This window comes from Homo sapiens, chromosome 14 (assembly GCF_000001405.40).
Source record: "Homo sapiens chromosome 14, GRCh38.p14 Primary Assembly".
NCBI lineage: Eukaryota > Metazoa > Chordata > Mammalia > Primates > Hominidae > Homo > Homo sapiens.
The window spans coordinates 102,193,607-102,212,352 of record NC_000014.9 but is presented as its reverse complement, the minus strand read 5'-3'; the positions used below and the strand labels follow the sequence as shown (position 1 = coordinate 102,212,352).

Genomic DNA, 18,746 nt, shown 5'->3' with positions numbered 1-18,746 from the left:
AGGGGCCTTGGGGAGGGCACGTAGACACAACGAAGGGGCCCCAGACAAGGTACCAGACAGACATTAAGGACAGTACACTCCTTGGCAAAAACTGGAAGAAAAAGATTGTTATCAAGCCTCAAATCCAAAACTGACAATATCATAGTGTTTAAAACTGGAGGTGGGGGGAGAAAGACACACACAGGCCTCCATACTAGACAGCACACTTCGGAGTTGTTTTCAAAGGAAACATAACCTCCTCCTCTTGCCTCTCCCACCCCTGGTTCCTATCAGCAAATGACTCCTAAGTCACCTGTCAGTGTACCCCTGCAATCCCTCTTTCATCCCAGCCACTGCGACTGAGAATTTTAAAGAAGGGGGAGAAATCAGAGAGTCCCCAGTCGGTCACGTTGGTTACTCGGGCACACACCCCCACGGCTTCCCTGTCCAGGGCAACACCTTCAGAACTGCAAGGTCGCCAGAAATGTCACCATAAATGCTACTTACTTGGGATCGGCCACTCTCTATTTAGGCCAAATACTAAGTCCTGAATTTTGAAACTGCATACTCAATGCCTCAGAAGCATTTGAAACTGAACGTTTACAACTATGTAGGTGCAAAAGTTGCACATGGAGCGTTCATCACTAATCTCTCCACATGACCCAATTTGGCCTCCAAAGCGGAAACTGTCCACAAGGATGGCTGTCATGGCTACCTTAGATCAGTTCACCTTTAGGAACAAAGGCCCGTATTCCACAGGTAGAGAGGACACGAATACTCCTAGGAGCAGTGCTCAGGGATGTGAAAGGCACAGCCAGGAGAGATGCACCTGAAGGCTGCTGTGGTTCCCAGGTGGCAGCACGCGGCCATGCCATCACACTCAACAGAAACCACTGCGTTAAGGCCCACGATGGGCACAGGGTGGATGGCGCCACCGTGACATGTTTGCAGATGGGAAGCAGGCCTGGGAACCTGGCCCGGCTTTCCTGGGAGGGCTGCGTTAAGAGCACAGGGAGCTGCTGCTTCAGCTACCAGGGTCTTTACACTGCAGAGAAAGAAAAGCCACCAGGTCTTCACTTTGCTGAATCATATTCACTACGCAAACTGGTCTAAGTGATCGTTGTCTCTATATTTAATTACAAAGGTGTACAACCTAAATGCCCAAAATGAGTTAACAAGTAAGATAACCACCATCTTGACATGGAATACATAGTTCAAGGGGCCATCTCACCCACTGGGAAAACCAGAATTTGAAAAGCAGCTCCTGGTGCAGCAGTAGAGAGTGAGGGTGAAAGACTGCGGTCTCCGGGGGAGCAGCAGAGCCTCCCACTGCCGAGGAAGCCACAGGCCACCAGGTCCTGGGCTGAGGCGCTAGGGTGGGAGCCACTGAGGACGAAGCCTACGCACATGGCCAGCGTCAGCATCCCAAGAGTAATCCCGGAACCACAGCTGCCATCCAAGAACAAGGAGAGGGGAAACCTGCACTTCCGCTTCCTCTGCGGGGGACGAAGCCCAAACGAGGGCCATGTCAGGGAGAAGTCGGAAGACTCGGGGAGTCTCAGGCTTTACGAAACAAAGCGCGGAGGAGTCACGTGCCTTTCTGACCCAATCCCCCTCCCCCACCGCACCTCCCCGCCCCCGGCAAAAAACCAAAAAACTCCTTTTCCCTTGTTGGGAAAACACACAAGCAAAGTGCATCTGAAGAAAAGGTCTTCGCTTATGTGGCAAGAGGCACTTCTGCAATGCTGTTGGCGTCCTCGGCCCGCAGTTCCCACGAACTGTCAGGCTCTGAGTGAGGTACGGGTATCTTAGTACACAGAACCTCAATCAAAGTGCTACAAACTGCTTCTTTGAAAAAAGATGTTTATTAAACAACTTTAATTGTCATAAAATGACTAAAATGGGTTTTAAAAATTAAGGCTCTTCTCTTTCTGTGGATTGCCAGAACAATGTAAAAATAATATCAATCAACCCTGCTAAACGTTTTGTTCCTAAAGTTAAATTTCATAGATTCCTAAACATTTTATGATTAAGATAAAAAATTGGACTATAAATGACAATTCATGGCCATCTGTGCTGAACACACATTGATCAGGTGTACAATATTCTAATTGAGTAGTTAAGCAAAAAATATTCCAGTTAAAGCATAAATTTTAATTTCAGCATTTTAAAGTCATTGTTTCCCCACATGGTCATGATTTTCCTAAAATTGAAATAGTCTAATACAGGAGCGCTAACCTTGGGACTCTATATACTCCCAGGAGGATGACTGACTTGGCTGGCAATTAGTTTGATTATATTTTTTTAAATGCTCTAAGGTAAATTATCAAATGATTCAGAATTACATGGCATGCAGTATCCAAAATTATGGCTCTGATGCATTGAGATTTACATTAAGAATAAGAAGTGTCATTCACATTCATTGTACACCCCACCCCTCCCACGAAAAAGAAAAAAGTCACTACCTATTCAAGTTCTAGATCTGGTGCAGCATTAAGGATTAAAACTTACCACTTTACCAGGCCTTCCCCATGTGCAAATAAATCCCTCCTGACAAGCAGTGACTATACAGTCTTCAAGAAATATTAGTACAGTCAGTCTCTCATGTGCTATCTTTTTACATATCAGCGGCTCTAACAAGGGAACATCTTCCATTCGAGGACACAGGGGCGTTCCCAGAGTTTTAGCAGGGTCCGTTTTGGTTTTGGTAACTAGATTCAGTTTGTCACTGCTCTTGCTAGAAATGTGTCCCATGCTATGATTTCGCTTGTGATCTTTCTCGTGGTGCCTCTCCTTCCGGTCATGTAGTGAAAGTGTTGCAAATTTGCTGACCCCAGAAGCAATGGCCCCGTCCATGACACTGCTTTTGCTGCCAGCATTTGAGACTGCTGAATGTGGAAGGCTGTTGGACCGTGGCAGAGGAGGCGGCACAGAGTTCCCGGGTGTTGTAACACTGTTCCCATTGCTTCCAGCAGGAGGACTCGTGGCATTCATGACATTTGTGTGTGTCCTTGCTCTTGAGAGGGGTTGGTGAGGGAAAAGGATATCTTCTGTAAGGTCCCATAAACAGAGCTGTGTGTCCTGGCCCACGGAACCAAACCGATACGTGACACTTACGGGGCGGCTGTCTGTAGAGTTCCGTTTGGAGAGCCTGGACTGTGTACTATTTGCTCGATCTCTGCCAAAATGAAGAAGGTCTTGGAAGTCCTCATCGCTGCCACTAAACTCCATAGGGTCACCTTCTTCTACACTAGTGGTATAAGGGTCAAACGCTACAACACTGACCCAGGACTTGTGCCCGTGGCCTCTGGCTATTACTCGGCAGTCTACAAAGGACCAGACTGTCACCAAGTCGTCCTCCCCACCTGTCACGATGTACTTGCCATCCGGGCTCCAGCACACACACAGCAAGCCCCCAAAGTAGCTTTTCATCGTACCGTGCAGCTCCACTGAGTCAAAGTTGAACACCCGCAGAAACCCGTCCTGGCTCACGCACGCTAAGAACTTGCCATCTGGGGAGAAAGCAAACTCGTTGAGGGCCCCCTCGCCCACCGTCCACTTAAGGAGAGGGTTCCTCGTGGATTTGCTCTTGCAAGTGTGCACGGCAAAGCTCTCTCCCTGCTTCAGAAGCTGGTAGTGGGGGGCTGTGGTGCCACAAGTGTGCTCCACATTATATAAGTACATGTTCCCACTCGAGTGGGCTACTAGGAAAAGGCTTTCCGAACCGGGAACCCATTTGACACAGGTAACTCGTGACTTGTCTATTAGTCTCTGTGAAGACAAAGGAGAACAAGTTAGCACAACGGAGAAGTCTCAAAGGTCTACTTTTCCAGCAAGAAAACTTGTGTGCTTCTCGATGGGAAGGGGCAAGTCTATCCAGGCCCTCCACATTTTATCCTGCAGTCAGCCAAGCCAGCAAGGAGCGTTTTGGCCCTTTTGGGGTAATTTAGAATTACTTTCTAAAATCGGTGTTAGGCTGCTGGCTTTCACGGAGGGAGTCAGGCAGCCAACAGATATTTGCAGAGGGGCCACTAAGTGCCAGACACGATGCCAGGCACAGGGTTCACTGCGGAGGGAACAGCCCTGCTGGGATCTTTCTTCCTTGACAGTAGGTGCATCTGAATCTGGGGGTCACTGCATCTGCATGTGGTATCCCCTCTACGAGGACCTGCAGGTGAAGCCTGTGAGTCCTCACAGCCAGGAGGGCTCTGCCTCACCCTCACGGGTTCCTCTGCCTTTACTGTCACTGTAGGTAATGGGCTGGTTCCATCTGCCCCTCTGCTCTGGCGGCTCGAAGGTGGGGAGTGAAATCCACAGTCCATGGCTGGCAGCACACACAACTCCAAAACAGAGCCTGGGCCCACTGAGGCCGCCTCACTCCCATGCACCGCCCCACGTGCATCTCCATAAGCATCTCCTCGAAACCCTCTCTGCTGGTGTTGAGAGAGATACACTGACGATTCATTCGGGAGTGTGTGTCTCATTACCATCACTCTGCTCCATATGCTAACTTTGGACCCCTGACCGAGATGTTTCTTTAACAGGCGTATGTCAGTAGTCTTGCCTTTAAAACCCAAATAACGAAGGGCAAAAATACCTGCCCCACCAAAGGCACAAGTCTCTTTCCCTGCTTGCCAATCAATCCTGTGATGGGGATGCCAGCGCAACACCTTCCACAGGGGCGGTCCCTTTCTGGACCGTCTGAGCGCAAAATCGCATCACCAGAACACATCCAGAAGTCCCAAGACTCCCAAGTTCTACCTAGAAGCTCCTACTGCCAAGTGCTCTCCACTGCACCATCGCCCCAGTAACAGTGTCCCTTTAGGAGCCCAGCAGCCCCAGGTAAGTTGAACACCACCGCTTCACCTAACAGGTGGGGAGTCCCTGACTCAAGTCTCAGAGGGGTACTGGGCACACAGGGGCAGAATCTGCCAAGAAACATGCCGACTTCTGCCAGGGTGGCTTTGAGGCCATGTGCCCGCCATGTGTGCTACATCTTTACAGAGAATTACAGAAATAAGACGACTTGATTTTTAAAAGAACGGCTGGGAAAGAAATTAATGAGCCATGCAAGCTCACTGCATGAACATTAGACCCTAGAAAGTAGGCTGCTAACAAAGGACCCCAGGCAGGAAGAACGGAGGCCTGAACGCCACACAGCATGCGGGCCCAGGGCTGGGGACCATGCATTGGGCAGTTACTCAGCAGCAGGTGTCACTGCTTACTGCCGTAAAACGGCATGGCTGGTCCTCTTAAATTAATAGGCACGTGGCAAGCCAGCCTTGGGGACACAGCCAGTATTTTCATCCCCCACCTCCTCTTTATCCTCCTGCCTGGTGACCTACCTATAAACAGCACCTGACCTGCACTAATGCCAACAACCTAAAACCCAGCGCTGCTCTGGCAGGATTTCCATTAGACCTTCGTGCAATTTTCTCAGCAAGGGGTTACAGAGATAATTTACATGGCCAGAGCAGGGCTTTTTTTTGATGGTGGAGGGAGGTGCAAGGATGATGGGATGGTGAACGGTGGATTAAGAGGCCTCCACTCCCCCATCACAGCTCTGCCAGACCTTGCTGTGCCCACTGGGCCCAGACTACCCCAGCACTCTTGATCCCACAAACACAACTGTACCTGATCGCCCAGGGCCTAAGGGTGTCTGCAGCTCGCTCCATCACTGGCCTTGTCAGGCAGGCCTACACCAGCTAACTCAGGCCTGGGAAGCCAGACTGCTGTCCTGATTTTGGTACAGTGGCTCCCAATTCCTGCACCTTACATTTCACCAGAACCAAATCAAATCCCAGTTTTTCTAGGATCACTTCATTGTTACTCTATTTACCATGTGTGGAGAAATTTCAGGACATAAAAACTTCTAGCAGCACGGTTAGGAGTAAATTTTATTTTGGGCCTTAAAAAACACAACAAAAAACTGCATGAGAACTCAAAAACTAGTATGATCAAGTAAAAACAGTATTGCTTTGCAATAGTGAGGTATGAACAGCATTTATAGCACCATTAAAAATAAATGTTACTGCAATGACAAAACACATTAAAAACCTTCACTCCCGTATTAAGAAGCTGCACTGTGGCCAGGCGCGGCGGCTCACGCCTGTAATCCCAGCACTTTGGGAGGCCGAGGAGGGTGGATCACTTTAGGTCAGGAGTTCGAGACCAGCCTGGCCAACATGGTGAAACCCTGTCTCTACTAAAAATACAAAAATTAGCTGGGCATGGTAGTGCGAACCTGTAATCCCAGCTGCTCTGGAGGCTGAGGCAGGAGAATCACTTGAACCCAGGAGGCGGTGGCTGTGTGCAGTGAGCCAAGATCACGTCATTGCATTCCAGCCTGGGCGACAAAGTCAGACTCCATCTCAAAAGAAACAACAACAAAAAAAAACAGTGCACTGAGACGACCCTAAGTAGACACATGGATGTAACTTACAGATAACATCCTGTGCCAATCTACTTCAATCCCCCTGTGGGGGCCTAATTAAATGTTACTGTGACACACTGGCAATGGTGGACTGAGCACACCAGTTTAAGCAACCGCAGACCAAAAAAAAAAAAAACCGACCTTGGATCCACCTGTATTGTGGTAAGGGTTTCTCACTTGCCTTACCCATTGTTTTTCTCTGTCAATCATGTGCTTGACAGCAGGGAAAACACGTGCTTCTCTGGGGGCGCCCTGTGTCTCAGCAATATCAGGGTGAGTGGCAGGCAGGCAGCAGTGTCTGTGGGCAGCAACAGCAGCGTGCTGGCCCTCACTTCCAATCAGAGTGTCTACTGTGGGTGCTGGCCACTGGTAGAGGCTTACACCCATGCTCTCTAAGCCTCAAAATTACCTTTCAAGATACGCTTTTTGTGTGAATGGGTAATACATTATTAATTCACATAAAAGTATACAGTAGAAAGCCTTACATTCTTCTACTCCATTCCGGATCCTCTGTCCTGAGTCACTGTACTAGTTTCTCATTTCTCTCTCCAGAGTGTCTTTGTGCATGTACAAGGCAAATATGAATACGCATTTATCCACTCTTCTTTTTCATACCAAAGGGAGCATACTATGCACTGTCTCACCTCTGCTTTCTCATTCCATATCTTTTTTTTTTTTTTGAGACAGGGTCTCGCTCCATCACTCAGGTTGGAGTGCAGTGGTGCAATCACGGCTCACTGCAGCCTTGACCTCCCAGGCCGAAGCAATCCTCCCACCTCAGCCTCCTGAGTATAGCTGGTGCTTCAGGTGAGTGTCGCCACACCCAGCTGATTAAAAATTTATATTTTTTGTAAATACAGGGTGTCGCTATGTTGTCCAGGCTGGTCTCAAACTCCTGGCTTCAGGAGCAAAGCAATCCTCCTGCCTTGGCCTCTCGAAGTGCTGGGATTAAAGGCGTGAGCCACCATGCCCAGCCTCCAAGTGTATTTGTACATCAGTCTGTATGGGCACAAAGACAGCATCCTCATTCTTTTCTAAAGCTGCAGAGTATTCAACTGTTTGGATAAACTGTGGTTTATTGTGGAAGTGCCCCACTGATGGACATCTATGTAGCAATGAATGCCCTTGCACACACGCACTTTTCACATGTGTGAGTAATGTACCTACAGGATAAACTCCCAGTGGAGTAACTGAGCCAAAAGATATATACATTTATGATTTTTACAGATGTTACCAAATTGCCTCGCATGGAAAATGGAAAATGCAGTCATGCCTGTCTCCCTACAGGAAGGCAGGGATTGTCGCCATATTATCAGTGAGAAAAGAAGCTTAGAGAGGTCAAGAAACTTGCCTGAAGTCCCATCCATCCATCCAGTATTGAGTGCGTACCATATGCCAGGCACTGATACAATATAAATTAAAACAGGCATCTTTCCCTCATGAAATTTAGGTTCAAGTGGGATGAGAAGACAGTGAAATTTATGTGATCTGATGATGATAAGTGCTGTGGAGAAAAATAAACCAGGGAGAGAAGAGAACGTGCTGGGGAGAAGGGGACTCTAGTGATTTCAATGTTGAATAGGATGGCCAAGAAAGGCCTCTTCCTCTGCTGGTGCTGGACAGCTGAGCAAGACAGAAGGACAGAAAGACAGCAAATATCAGGCTAAGAGGATGTTTGGGGAAGTGTACCCCCACAGAGAACAACTTCAAGGACTCCGAGGCGGAGAGACACAGCCGAACCAGTGCCAGGGGAACAGACGGGCCCATCAGACCCCAAAGCGAGCATGCTGTCTCCCGTTCCACAGACACACATCACCTGGCTCCGACGACCAGCCTGCAGGGCCACTCCCAAGCGTTCTAAGGAACAGGGCACCAGCCTGTCTCAGACCCCAGGCCAGTGTGGGAAGCACAGTCATTTAACTTACATGACTCTGGCTTATTTGGATTGGGTTTGACAAAAGAGGAAGAGAACAGAACACATTTTTCTCCTGTCTTTCAAATTAAGAAAGAAATACCTAGAACATTTAATTAAATAAATACAAGAATAAAAATTATGCAGTCCAGTTTCTGCACTATAAGGTATATTTTTGTTTCAGAAAAAGTCTAGTTAAAAAAAAAAATCTTAGTCAGTGCTCAATGATAAGTAATGGAATTCCCTGTTGGGCTTGAATTCTCTCCAATGTCAATGGGGCCTTGATCTGGATGAGGATGTTGAAAAATACCCGGTCCCTCTGAGGGATGGGGTTTCGGGGGTGGGCAGGGAGGCAGGAGTGGCAGAAGCACCAGGGGCCATGCTCCAAGGAAAAGCCCAGCCAACACAGCAGGCCAGGGGGGTGGGGATCCAGGCCATGTGTGGCATCTGTCTTGATCGCAGCACATGAGCTGGGAGGGGAATTTGGTCTGGAGTTGTGAGCTGGGACTCAGGCTGTGGCTGTGAAGTCCCAAGCTAAAGGGCTTCGGCTGGGACCCTGACGCTTGCACTCCCCAGTCCCGCAGCACTGGTCTCAAGTGGAATGTGCTGTCAGTGTAAACACACACAGGGTTCTAAAAATGTGGTATGAAAAAAAATGTCAATGATCTCATTTATAGTTTTTACACTGGTTATATGCTGAAATAATATTTTGGAGATATATATATAAAATACAGTATTTTCTTAAAATTAATTTCACCTGGTTTTTACTATTTTAATGTGGTAATTAGAAAATTTAAACTTGCACACGTGGCTGGCACTGTATTTCTACTGGGGATGCTGCTGCAGACAGTGGAGGCACAGACAGTTTCTAGAAAGGGAAGTGGCAGAATAACATGAAATCCCCCAGCAGTAGGTGCAGAATGCAAGGTGGGGTGGGGGTGATGAGGAACCAGTTAGGAGGCTATGACAACTGTCCATGCCATGGACAAATAGGTCTTAAACTTGACCATGGGCAGCGTGGCAGAATGTGGCTGGGTGGAGGGCAAGATGGAAAGCGGGGGTGTGTAAAGACCCCTGGGTTTTGCCCAGTATGCAGCTAGAAAGGTCTGCAGCTAATAAATATAACCACGAATGTCACAGAAATTGGCTGCGAATAGTAACATCCTAAGATCTCCAAGGAGGATCACTTGAGCCCAGGTCAAGGCTGCAGTGAGTTATGATTACACCACTGTACTCCAGCCTGGGTGACACAGTGAGACCCTGTCTCTGAAATAAATAAATAAATATCTCCAAGGAAGCAGGTGCAGCGGAGGAAGAGTGTGTGAAACTCTGAAAAAAACCTCCGTACAGGCCCGGCGCAGTGGCTCACACCTGTAATCCCAGTACTTTGGGAGGCCAAGGCGGGCGGATCACGAGGTCAGGAGATCGAGACCATCCTGGCCAATATGGTGAAACCCTGTCTCTACTAAAAATACAAAAAAATTAGCTGGGCATGGTGGCGGGTGCCTGTAGTCCCAGCTACTCAGGTGGTGAGGCAGGAGAATGGTGTGAACTCGGGAGGCAGAGGTTTGCAGTGAGCCGAGATCGCACCACTGCACTCCAGCCTGGGCGACAGAGCGAGACTCCGTCTCAAAAAAAAAAAAAAAAAAAAAAAAACCTCCATACAGGGCACAGGACAAAAACAAGGAAAGCAGAAGGAATATCCAAGCAAACAACCCAGAAGTGCCATGAGGAGAGCAGGCAGAAGAGGAAGGAGCTGCCACAGGAGGCCAGAGCCTCAGAGGACAGGCCTCTGAGACTTGAGGAAGCTGAGCCCTAGAGGGATGGAGTGCACAGGGAGGGGGTGGTCCTTAGGAGAGAGCACAGGGAAGCAGGGTGGGGGCAGAGAAGGTGCTGAGAGCAAAGGGACACCGTAGGGGAGGAGGGTGCAGGGCAGGTGCCTGGTGGAGGAAGGTGAGCTCCAGGAGAGAGGGACAGGGAAGAGACCTGCTCCCTGGGCCAGAAGGGAGGTGCTGGGGAACAGAGACAGGCAGAGGCAGGAAGGCTCTGGTGGGAAGCAGTGGAGGAGAGCCCCAGTCCCAGTCGCAGCCCCTCCAGGGCAGGGGTACACTGAGAGATGGGCAGGGCAGGTGCTCAGCGAGGAGGCGGAGGGAAGGCAGGGGAAGTAACAGAGGTGCTGGCAGAGCAGCTGGCCTGGCCACAGGGCTCTCCATCAGTGTCCAACTCCAAAATGCTCCAAGGCCCATTCTTAACAAACACGTTCATAAAAACACAAAAAACCCAAAACGCAAATAAACCTTAAAAGCAAAACGAAATACAGACACATTTCTATGTACGTCAAGACACCTGCTCTGGGCCAGTGCTCTGTGGGGATGCAGGCTCCATGTCTCCACTCAACGCTCAGCGCGGCCCTCCCCATAGTTCCAGCTCTGCAGGCCAAACAGACCGTGCCACTTAAGATATGAATACAAAGAAAAATCCCACGAACAGCGAAAACACTACCATCCCAAATGCCATCAACAGACAAGATTTTCAAAATACACTAGTTAAAATGAAACAAGAATAAAAATAAGTCTATAACCACATCAAAGTGTCATTTTGTGAAAGCAATTCACACTGACGCTTTCTAAGGCACTTCATTTTCTTTTTCTTTTTTTTCATTACTATCAATATGATAAGCAAAAATCAAAAATTAGTTTGGGGGTGAGTGGATCTGCATTTCAAAATGCAGATATTAATTTATAACAAAAATACTGAAACAATTCAAAAACCACAGCAGCTGCTTGAAAAGCCATAATGCAACCACAAGCAAAAATGGCAACTAAAGGCTCTGATGATGTAAAGGCATCTGAAGAGGGCTCAGGAAGTATTAGGAAAGGGTATTTCAAAGCCACATTAAGATGGGATCGGATGTCGTTTTATCTGTGTTCAAGCTTTAAGGAGTAGATCATTACGGGCTCATTTCCTTCCTTCGATTAGAAAATCAACAGAAACAAAACTAACAAAATGTGCAGACCATTCCTTTGTATCAGAATAGACAGAACACTGCTAAGCTTTACCCCATGCCTGGGAGGCACCTGCAGCTGGCAGGATGTGCCACGCAGCCTGGGCTGGCAGCAGTGTCCCTCCATACCCCAGGAGTCAGGGCCATCTCCTCTTCAGCATGCCCTTCAGTAAGACTGGATCTAAATGCCACAAGGAGACGTGGGACCTACCCAGTGTGTCTGCCTCAGCCTCACAGCCTGCGAGAGGAGAAGGGCAACAGCAGAGGGTATCGTGTCAGTAACGAAAGAAGCCAAATGCCAAGTTCTTTAACATTTTATATTTCAGCCAACAATTAACACATACTTGAAAATCCTTCAAAGTTACTATTCTGTGAATATACTCCAAAATCAGGATTTTTACACAGACAACAAGGTTGCATTCATTACCATATAGGAACTGTCCCTTTGTAACTCTTCCTCCCCAAATATATAACCATTAGTTATAAAAAGCAAACTTCAGAACAGGGCAGAGTGAAACACACACACACACACACACACACACACACACACACACACAAAAAAAAAAATTTAAAAAGTAAACTCCTCGCCCCTGTGGGGTGCTTCACCACAGTGAGCTGAATGTGACCGGGTGACTCTCCTCTGTGGGCAGCTCTGATGATGAGGACACGCTCCACGATCTGGGAGCTTGTCAGATGAACCGTGCGCCAAGATACTTTCAATAATGGCCCATTAGACATTTTCAAGGGCATCATATGTACAGAACGCTACAAACAGAAACCCAAAATCTACTCTGGAAGATTGGGGAAAGCAGAGACTCCAGGGAGCTGGGGATGATTTCCTGAGAGGGGCTAGAAAGGACTGGGCATTCGACTTTCTTTGGGTCTTGAACAGATGCACCAGCAAGGACCTCCAGTGTGACTGAGGACAGTCCCAGGGAGCGGGAAGAGGGCAGGGCCTGCCCATGCTCACTGGGCTGACCTGATCAGGGCCAGACTTGGAGATGAAGTTTGGTGAAGTTTGCCTTCACCCCCAATGGAAGGTGTGAGCCCTATGGTGTCCCCTCATTGAAAACAATCACAGACTGTGAAAGTCAACAGTGAGCGTCACGGTTTAGAGGTGATGCTTTCCTACCTTCTTTGTACCTCTCTATTTTCCAATTTTTCTATCAACAAGCATTTTAAATGCACACAATTTTTAATTGACAGGGGGAAAATCATCTTTTAAAATATACTTGTTCCCAGATGGGAATTTTTCATCTATGTTTATCTCAGGTGGATTTCTGAAATTTATAATTCCATTTCACTCATCTTTCCATCCCAACATTTATTACATTTTCATGTACCAGGCACCAGAAAGGAGGCAAAGGCCAGAGTAACTGATGCTGGGGATTCGGTGTGTGAAGGTGTGTGCACGTGTGGTAACAGGTGGGTCTGAGAGGTGTTCTGGTGAGGAACACTGAAAGGCCACATTGCTGTAATTGTGACCAGCGGGCCAACCCTCAGCCTCACACATGTTGACTCTCTGCCTGGGTTGCCATGCTCCTACCTGCTTGTCCTAAAAAATTAATTATTTGTATTTCAAAACGGTTGGTATCTCACCTCCCACGGAACCCTTTCCGTCCAACACCACCCCTCCCAGGAAAGGAAGCCTGAGTTTCTCTCAACCTCCACGTTGCTGAGCATCCACCAAGGCTCGCTCTTCAGGCCCTTCACAAACACCCTGCCTGAACTCACTCATCTGAGCCTCATCACAAACCTCTCAGGTGGGTGCTGTTCCCACCCATTTTCCAACCGAGGAGAGGTAAGACCCACATCATCCTGCAAGCAGAAAGTGGCAGAGCTGGTGTCCGAGCCCTCAGCATTCTGGGCTGTGAAGTTGTAAATGTCGTGGTAATTAACTGTGTGTTAAGTGCCCCTTTGAAAGCAGTAGCTGAGATGGCCAGAATCTTGGAGTATAATCAGGCCTCAGACCCAGGCCTTCTTTGTTCTCACCATCATCTCTCCAAAGAACCTTTCATCTAATCTCAAGGATGTGATTATTATTTCTATGCTGACAACTGCCAAATTGTAACCCCTAGTTTTGTGCTCCAGATCCATACATCCCACTATCTACAGGTCTCTCGAACTTAGCAAGTACAGACCAGAACCTCTGATCTTCCCCTCCATTCCCTGACAACTGCTCCTTTCCCAGTCTCACCCAACACAGCAAGAGACACCCAGAAACCTGATTTATTAATACACCTTTCCAATTCAGTCTCCAAAAAGCAGCCAGGGTACCTTTCAAAAACACCAATCTGCCTGCCTTGTGCACCTGCTCCCTTCTAAGGAATCCCGTACTTCAGGCTAAGAAACAAATCTGGATCAGGCCGTAGGTGATGTGGCCCTCCAATCTCATGCCCTTACTTCATGCCACCTTCCCCAGGTAAACCGTCCTTCTTTCAGTTTCCTTGGGCTCAAGGGCCCTCATGTGCTATTCCTTTTGCAGGAAAGCTCCATCTCCAGTTCCTTACCTGGTTGGCCTTCTTCTCACATGAGGCACAGCTTAAAACATAGCACTTCGTCCGAGAGATGTCCTCTGCCTCCCAGTTTAAAGTAGACCTCTGTGTTGGCCAGGCGTGGTGGCTCACGCCTGTAATTCCAGCACTTTGGGAAGCTGAGGTGGGTGGATCACTTGAAGCCAGGAGTTCCAGACTAGCCTGGCCAACATGGTGAAATCCCGTCTCTACTAAAAATACAAAAATTAGTCAGGTGGCCTATAATCCCAGGTACTTGGGTGGGTGAGGCACAAGAATAGCTTGAACCTGGGAGGTGAAGGTTGCAGTGAGCCAAGATTGCGCCACTGCACTCCAGCCTGGGTGACAGAGTAAGACTCTGTCTCATAAATAAATAAATAAATAAATAAATAAATAAATAAATAAATAAATAAAGTAGACCTCTGTGATTCTCTCCCTTTCTTGGGCCTGCTCTCTTGCCTCTTACATCACAAAGTGTCACCATCTGTGGTCACCAGTGTTTCGGGGGTGGTGCTATTATACCTCTCTTCCCTCCTGAGAGGGGTCACAGGAGGGCAGGTTTTGCCCACTGCTGCAGACCCAGTGCTGGGCATGTGGTAGGTAGTCAAGGTCCTGAATGAATGAAACAATGGCCGCAACTCTAGTTCAAGCCCTCAGCTCTCACCTGGACAGTTACTAGAGCCTCCTCACTGGTCTTGCTACCTTCATTCTGTCTTTCTTCATTCCAATCCACCTTCCACAAGTGCTGACAAGAGTTCTAAAAAAACACATTTGATCCTGTCACTCCCTTCATTAAAAGGCCAAAGGTTCCCCCACATCTTCCAGTGTCAGTTCCAAATTGCTTCACGTGACATGAAAAGGCTTTTATAAGACAAGCTGGTTCCAATTTATCTTTCCAGCTTCGAACTCTGACACTCCAAGTCCCACACTGTGATGTGGCCAAGCTGTTACTGGATGTTCTTTCACATGCCTAGTTGTTCCTCCAGCTTTGAAGGCCTTCCTTACCCTCCTCTAATGACTATGTACCCTTTAAGACCCACATCAAACATCACTTTCTAAAAGCATTTCTTGGAACTCCCCCAGTGAACTTAACATTTTAAAAAACTTTAAAATGCATACTAAAGAATTCCTGCGGCAGCTAGCCCTTGGTATTTTGTTCATATCGCTGTGCTGACACGTGCCCAGTACTCTCTGTCCATTCTTACTAAACTGTGAGCTCCCGGAAGGGCAAGAGCTCATCTGGCAACCATGCATGGTGGGTCCTGTAACCAATGAGTTTCTGGAATTAATTTCTGGTTCCAACTCTATCATCAACTTGCTACCTGATCTGGACAATTCACTTATGTGCTCTTTGACTATTTCCTCATCTGTAAAATGGGAACAACTCCCCACCCTCCCTGTAGAGGCCATAGGTAAAAGTGCCTTGAAACCTGTAAATGTCACACCACAGCAAAGCACGACACGATGACTACTTCACCACCATTCCTGGCACTCTCTAAGGAACAAACCTCCGGTGACCCTTGCTCTTAGACATTCTGACCAAAATCTGATAAAAATGTATCCACATGGCCAGAGGATCTCCTTACTATGAAGGGCAATCGATTTCAGCCTCAAGCTGTAAATGCAAAGCTGGCATTAAACCACACACAGTCTTAGCATTCTAAATAGCAATTTCTCAAATAAAATGTAAAGTGAGTATGAGATAACTCATGCTTAAATCATGAAGAATGAGGAGCTGCCTTCCAGCCTGCAACTCCCAGTCACCAGGGCAGGGATAGTTCTGGCCAATGCAGCCTGAGTGCTCCCAGAGCCCTGAGATTCTGGGGACGTGTGGTCTCCAACTCCCTGCCCTCCCCCTGCCACGACACACAAAACTTTCTTGTTCTCTAAGCGGCATTCTGTACCATCCTCGGCCAGGGCTGCCTCCGGGTCTTGTTTACTAACAGCCCTTACATGGCTCCAATCCCTGCCCCCTCCAATCACACTCTCCCCTACCTAAACAATAAAAACCCACAATGATTCCAAATTCACAATTTCTGCTAACAGTGCAGAGGAGGCCAATTTTGTGCGCTGCTCCCCAAACTCAGCACCAAAAAAATAATCATCCAGCTACTTAGAAATCACTTCTGCAGATGATACTAAAAAAACATCTAGGTAAATAAAATATTTTCTGCTTAACTTTTTTTTAATGGAAAATGGGATTAAATACTTTTCCTCTACAATCTGTCAGTCCAGATGGCAAGTTTTGTTTCCAGTCAACTCAGAGGAAACTAGAAGAGATGGCATGGTTCATAAGATCTTATCAAATCCACTGGCAATGTCAAACAGGAGCACCCTGGGTGGATACTGATTTGCATGAATAGCAAGTACCATAACTGCAAAAGAATCCAAATTTTAACTGCCATTTGTCAATTTGAATTTTCTTCCCCAAACAAAATTATTTCTTAAAAACCATACTCTATAATGTGTTTTTGTTCCAAGTTAATGATGTTAAAACCATGCAACAATGCAAAAGGGAGGGGGTCCCACATAGCCTGACCCTTGCGCCTCAGGGGCAAGGTCCCAAGTAGAGATTGGAACCCAGGGCTTCTAACTCAGCAAGCCTACCTTATCTTTTCCACTTGGTAGAAAAGTCATACTGAAACAGACGAGGAAGAATATTAAATATGAAATAGCAATACTTGAGGCTGAAAGATGCTCCAACAGCTTTAAAAAATATAATCTACTTGGCAATTTCTATATGCCACATTTAACAGTCCTGACATGTTCCTGAACAGACAGCTCAGATATCTCAGGCTCTTTCCAGAATGAAATTGAAGATACTAGAAACCCCAGTACATACTACAACACTGGCAAAAGCTATGTCATGTGACCAAACTTTAAGCGCCAGGATTTCCAACTATGTCAAAGATGAGTTTACAGTAACTATTTTCAAGAGCAAGTGAAGTACTCCTTAGCCAAATGACTGTCAAACATACATACAAAAGCTTTGGCTACAATTTAAGCAGCCTAAGGAAATGTCATCAAGTTCTTTGATCTGCATGAAATGTTCTGGTGATGTGAACCAACTTTGGAATTCCACATTTTCTTACTTAAATTATAAATACCGAGTTACAGTACTGTCCCTATCTCCATTATAGAAGAGTTTTAAAACACCTGTTATAGACACCTGAGCATGCTCCATAAAAATGCACAAAACAGTCACCCCAAGGAAGAACAGGTAAGGTCAACAAATTAATCCACCACATTTAAACTTGGGCATACTAGGTAGGAGGGCTGGGCGAATAAAAAATGGGCTTAGCTTGAAGTGCAAAATAAGGCCGACTACCCTCGGTAAGAATGTATCAACTCTTAAAGGGATTCTTAACAGCTAAGACAGGGTGCTACTTACTTCCTCATTAAAAAGTTTGCTAGTTTCTTTTTTGATTGGGTCTATAAGCTGGACTTGGCCTGCGGAAAAGCCCACTAGGAGAGAGACACTTTCTGCTGTGGCTGTTAGGTGGTTGAAGTCATGACAAGTAGGCTGTGTTCCTTTGTATATCCTTTTATCTATTGGTTTACTCAAGTCAGCAGCCTGGAGGAGAAAGAGAAAAATACATACAGTAAACAGCACATTGAGATGAGAAATCTAAGTTATGCTACTTTATACTCCATTATGATGTTTCATCTTAAAAACAAAGTGATTTAAAATGTTTTTTCAGTTGTGACTTAACATCATCTAACATTTTATAAAAGCACTTTCACATACCTTAGCCAATTAGATATTATTAGACTATCTATAATATGTTTACAACTGTTACTTTCACAACTTATTCTCCTTCAAATATATGTAACAAAGACTCCTGGACTTCAGCAGGAAATATCCTTGAGATATTAAATTCAGTATTTTCAAAATGCATTTCAAGCAGTGTCTAACAGAGTAACCACATAAAAAGCTCGGCTTTCAAATGTATCTACAGCACCTACATGCCCACTGGCCAGTTACCTGCAGCCCAGTGGTTCTCAAAGTGTAATCCCCAAACCAGAAGCAGCAGCAGCAGCATGTGGGAACTTAGAAATGCAAAAATCTCAAACCTCACCCCAGACTAAATGAATCAGAAACTATGGGAGTAGGGCCAGCAAGTCGTAAAGAGGCTTCCAGGTGATTCTGATGCCCGCTCAAGTCTAAGAACCACTGCTGGAGCCCACTCTATACAGGTGGCTCCCTTCCTGGGTCAAAATCCCTCTTCTGGATTAGGTTTCGGGGAACATTACTTATCGAGGCCATAATCAAAGGACTTTACATGCATTGTCCTTAATCCTAACAATAATGCTCCAAAGTGGACAATATTTTACCCATTTTACAGATGAGAAAACAAGTTTAGGGAAGTTAAATAACTTGACCAACGTCACCATACCTACCTAAGTAAGTGGCAGGGCTGGATTTGGAACCCAGGTCTGTTTGACCATTAAGGGGATGGGGAGAGAGAGTCAAAAGCAAATGATTTCTCACTTGGGTGAAAAGTGATTTTTCAATGTGCCCTCCCCACTTTCAAGAAGGATTCTTTTCTTCATGAGAAATGTCCTGTGGCATCCCAATATGCTGGGCTTTTATTGGTGAAATAAGGGAAACCCACCCCCTCCCACTCTTGTCTGAAAATCTCCAGTGGAGACAACTAACCCTGAAGCAGAACTTGTCCCTCAAGACACCCAGTTCACGCTGTGTGGCCCTCTGGGGCTCCCGGCTCTAGTTCTCTACTGACCGCCCCCTCAGGTTCTGAAGATTTCTTTCTTCCAAAGAGGCCTGTGACATCGAACCAAGTATTCTAATGTTGGACTTTCCAATAACAAATATAAGTAATGAGTAGAAAAGAGGACCTCAAAATTACAGGCGTCTTTGAGCAAACTCAAAACCTTGCACATGTA

At 46.7% G+C, this 18,746-nt stretch overlaps 1 protein-coding gene and 1 long non-coding RNA gene across 70 annotated transcripts in view, besides 1 other annotated feature; one reads left to right on the top strand and one right to left on the bottom strand.

Annotated features, from left to right (window-relative positions):
• WDR20 (WD repeat domain 20) overlaps positions 1-18,746 on the bottom strand; it is an 85,417-nt gene that overhangs the window by 12,487 nt on the left and 54,184 nt on the right. For 14 of the 69 annotated variants that reach the window (NM_001353662.2, XM_024449742.2, XM_017021767.2 and 11 more), the window contains 2 exons: positions 17,233-17,415; positions 2,491-3,750 (listed from right to left, as the gene is read on the bottom strand). The exons of 3 other annotated variants lie outside the window; for them this stretch is intronic. In NM_001353662.2, the coding sequence (NP_001340591.1) occupies positions 2,491-3,663 (1,173 nt within the window). In that variant the 5' untranslated portion in view covers positions 3,664-3,750; positions 17,233-17,415. 52 more of the 69 variants (XM_024449743.2, XM_011537339.3, XM_011537335.3 and 49 more) reach the window with 13 other exon arrangements.
• Positions 3,747-8,475, top strand: LOC105370677 (uncharacterized). Its single transcript, XR_944228.2, has 2 exons — positions 3,747-7,219; positions 7,863-8,475. It is a non-coding gene; the product is annotated as an uncharacterized LOC105370677 (long non-coding RNA).
• Positions 9,141-9,220: a silencer, noted in NCBI's record as "silent region_6111". NCBI's record gives its function as "represses an Ori minimal core promoter by ATAC-STARR-seq in GM12878 lymphoblastoid cells {active_cell/tissue: GM12878}" and the evidence as "EXISTENCE:reporter gene assay evidence [ECO:0000049][PMID:35858748]".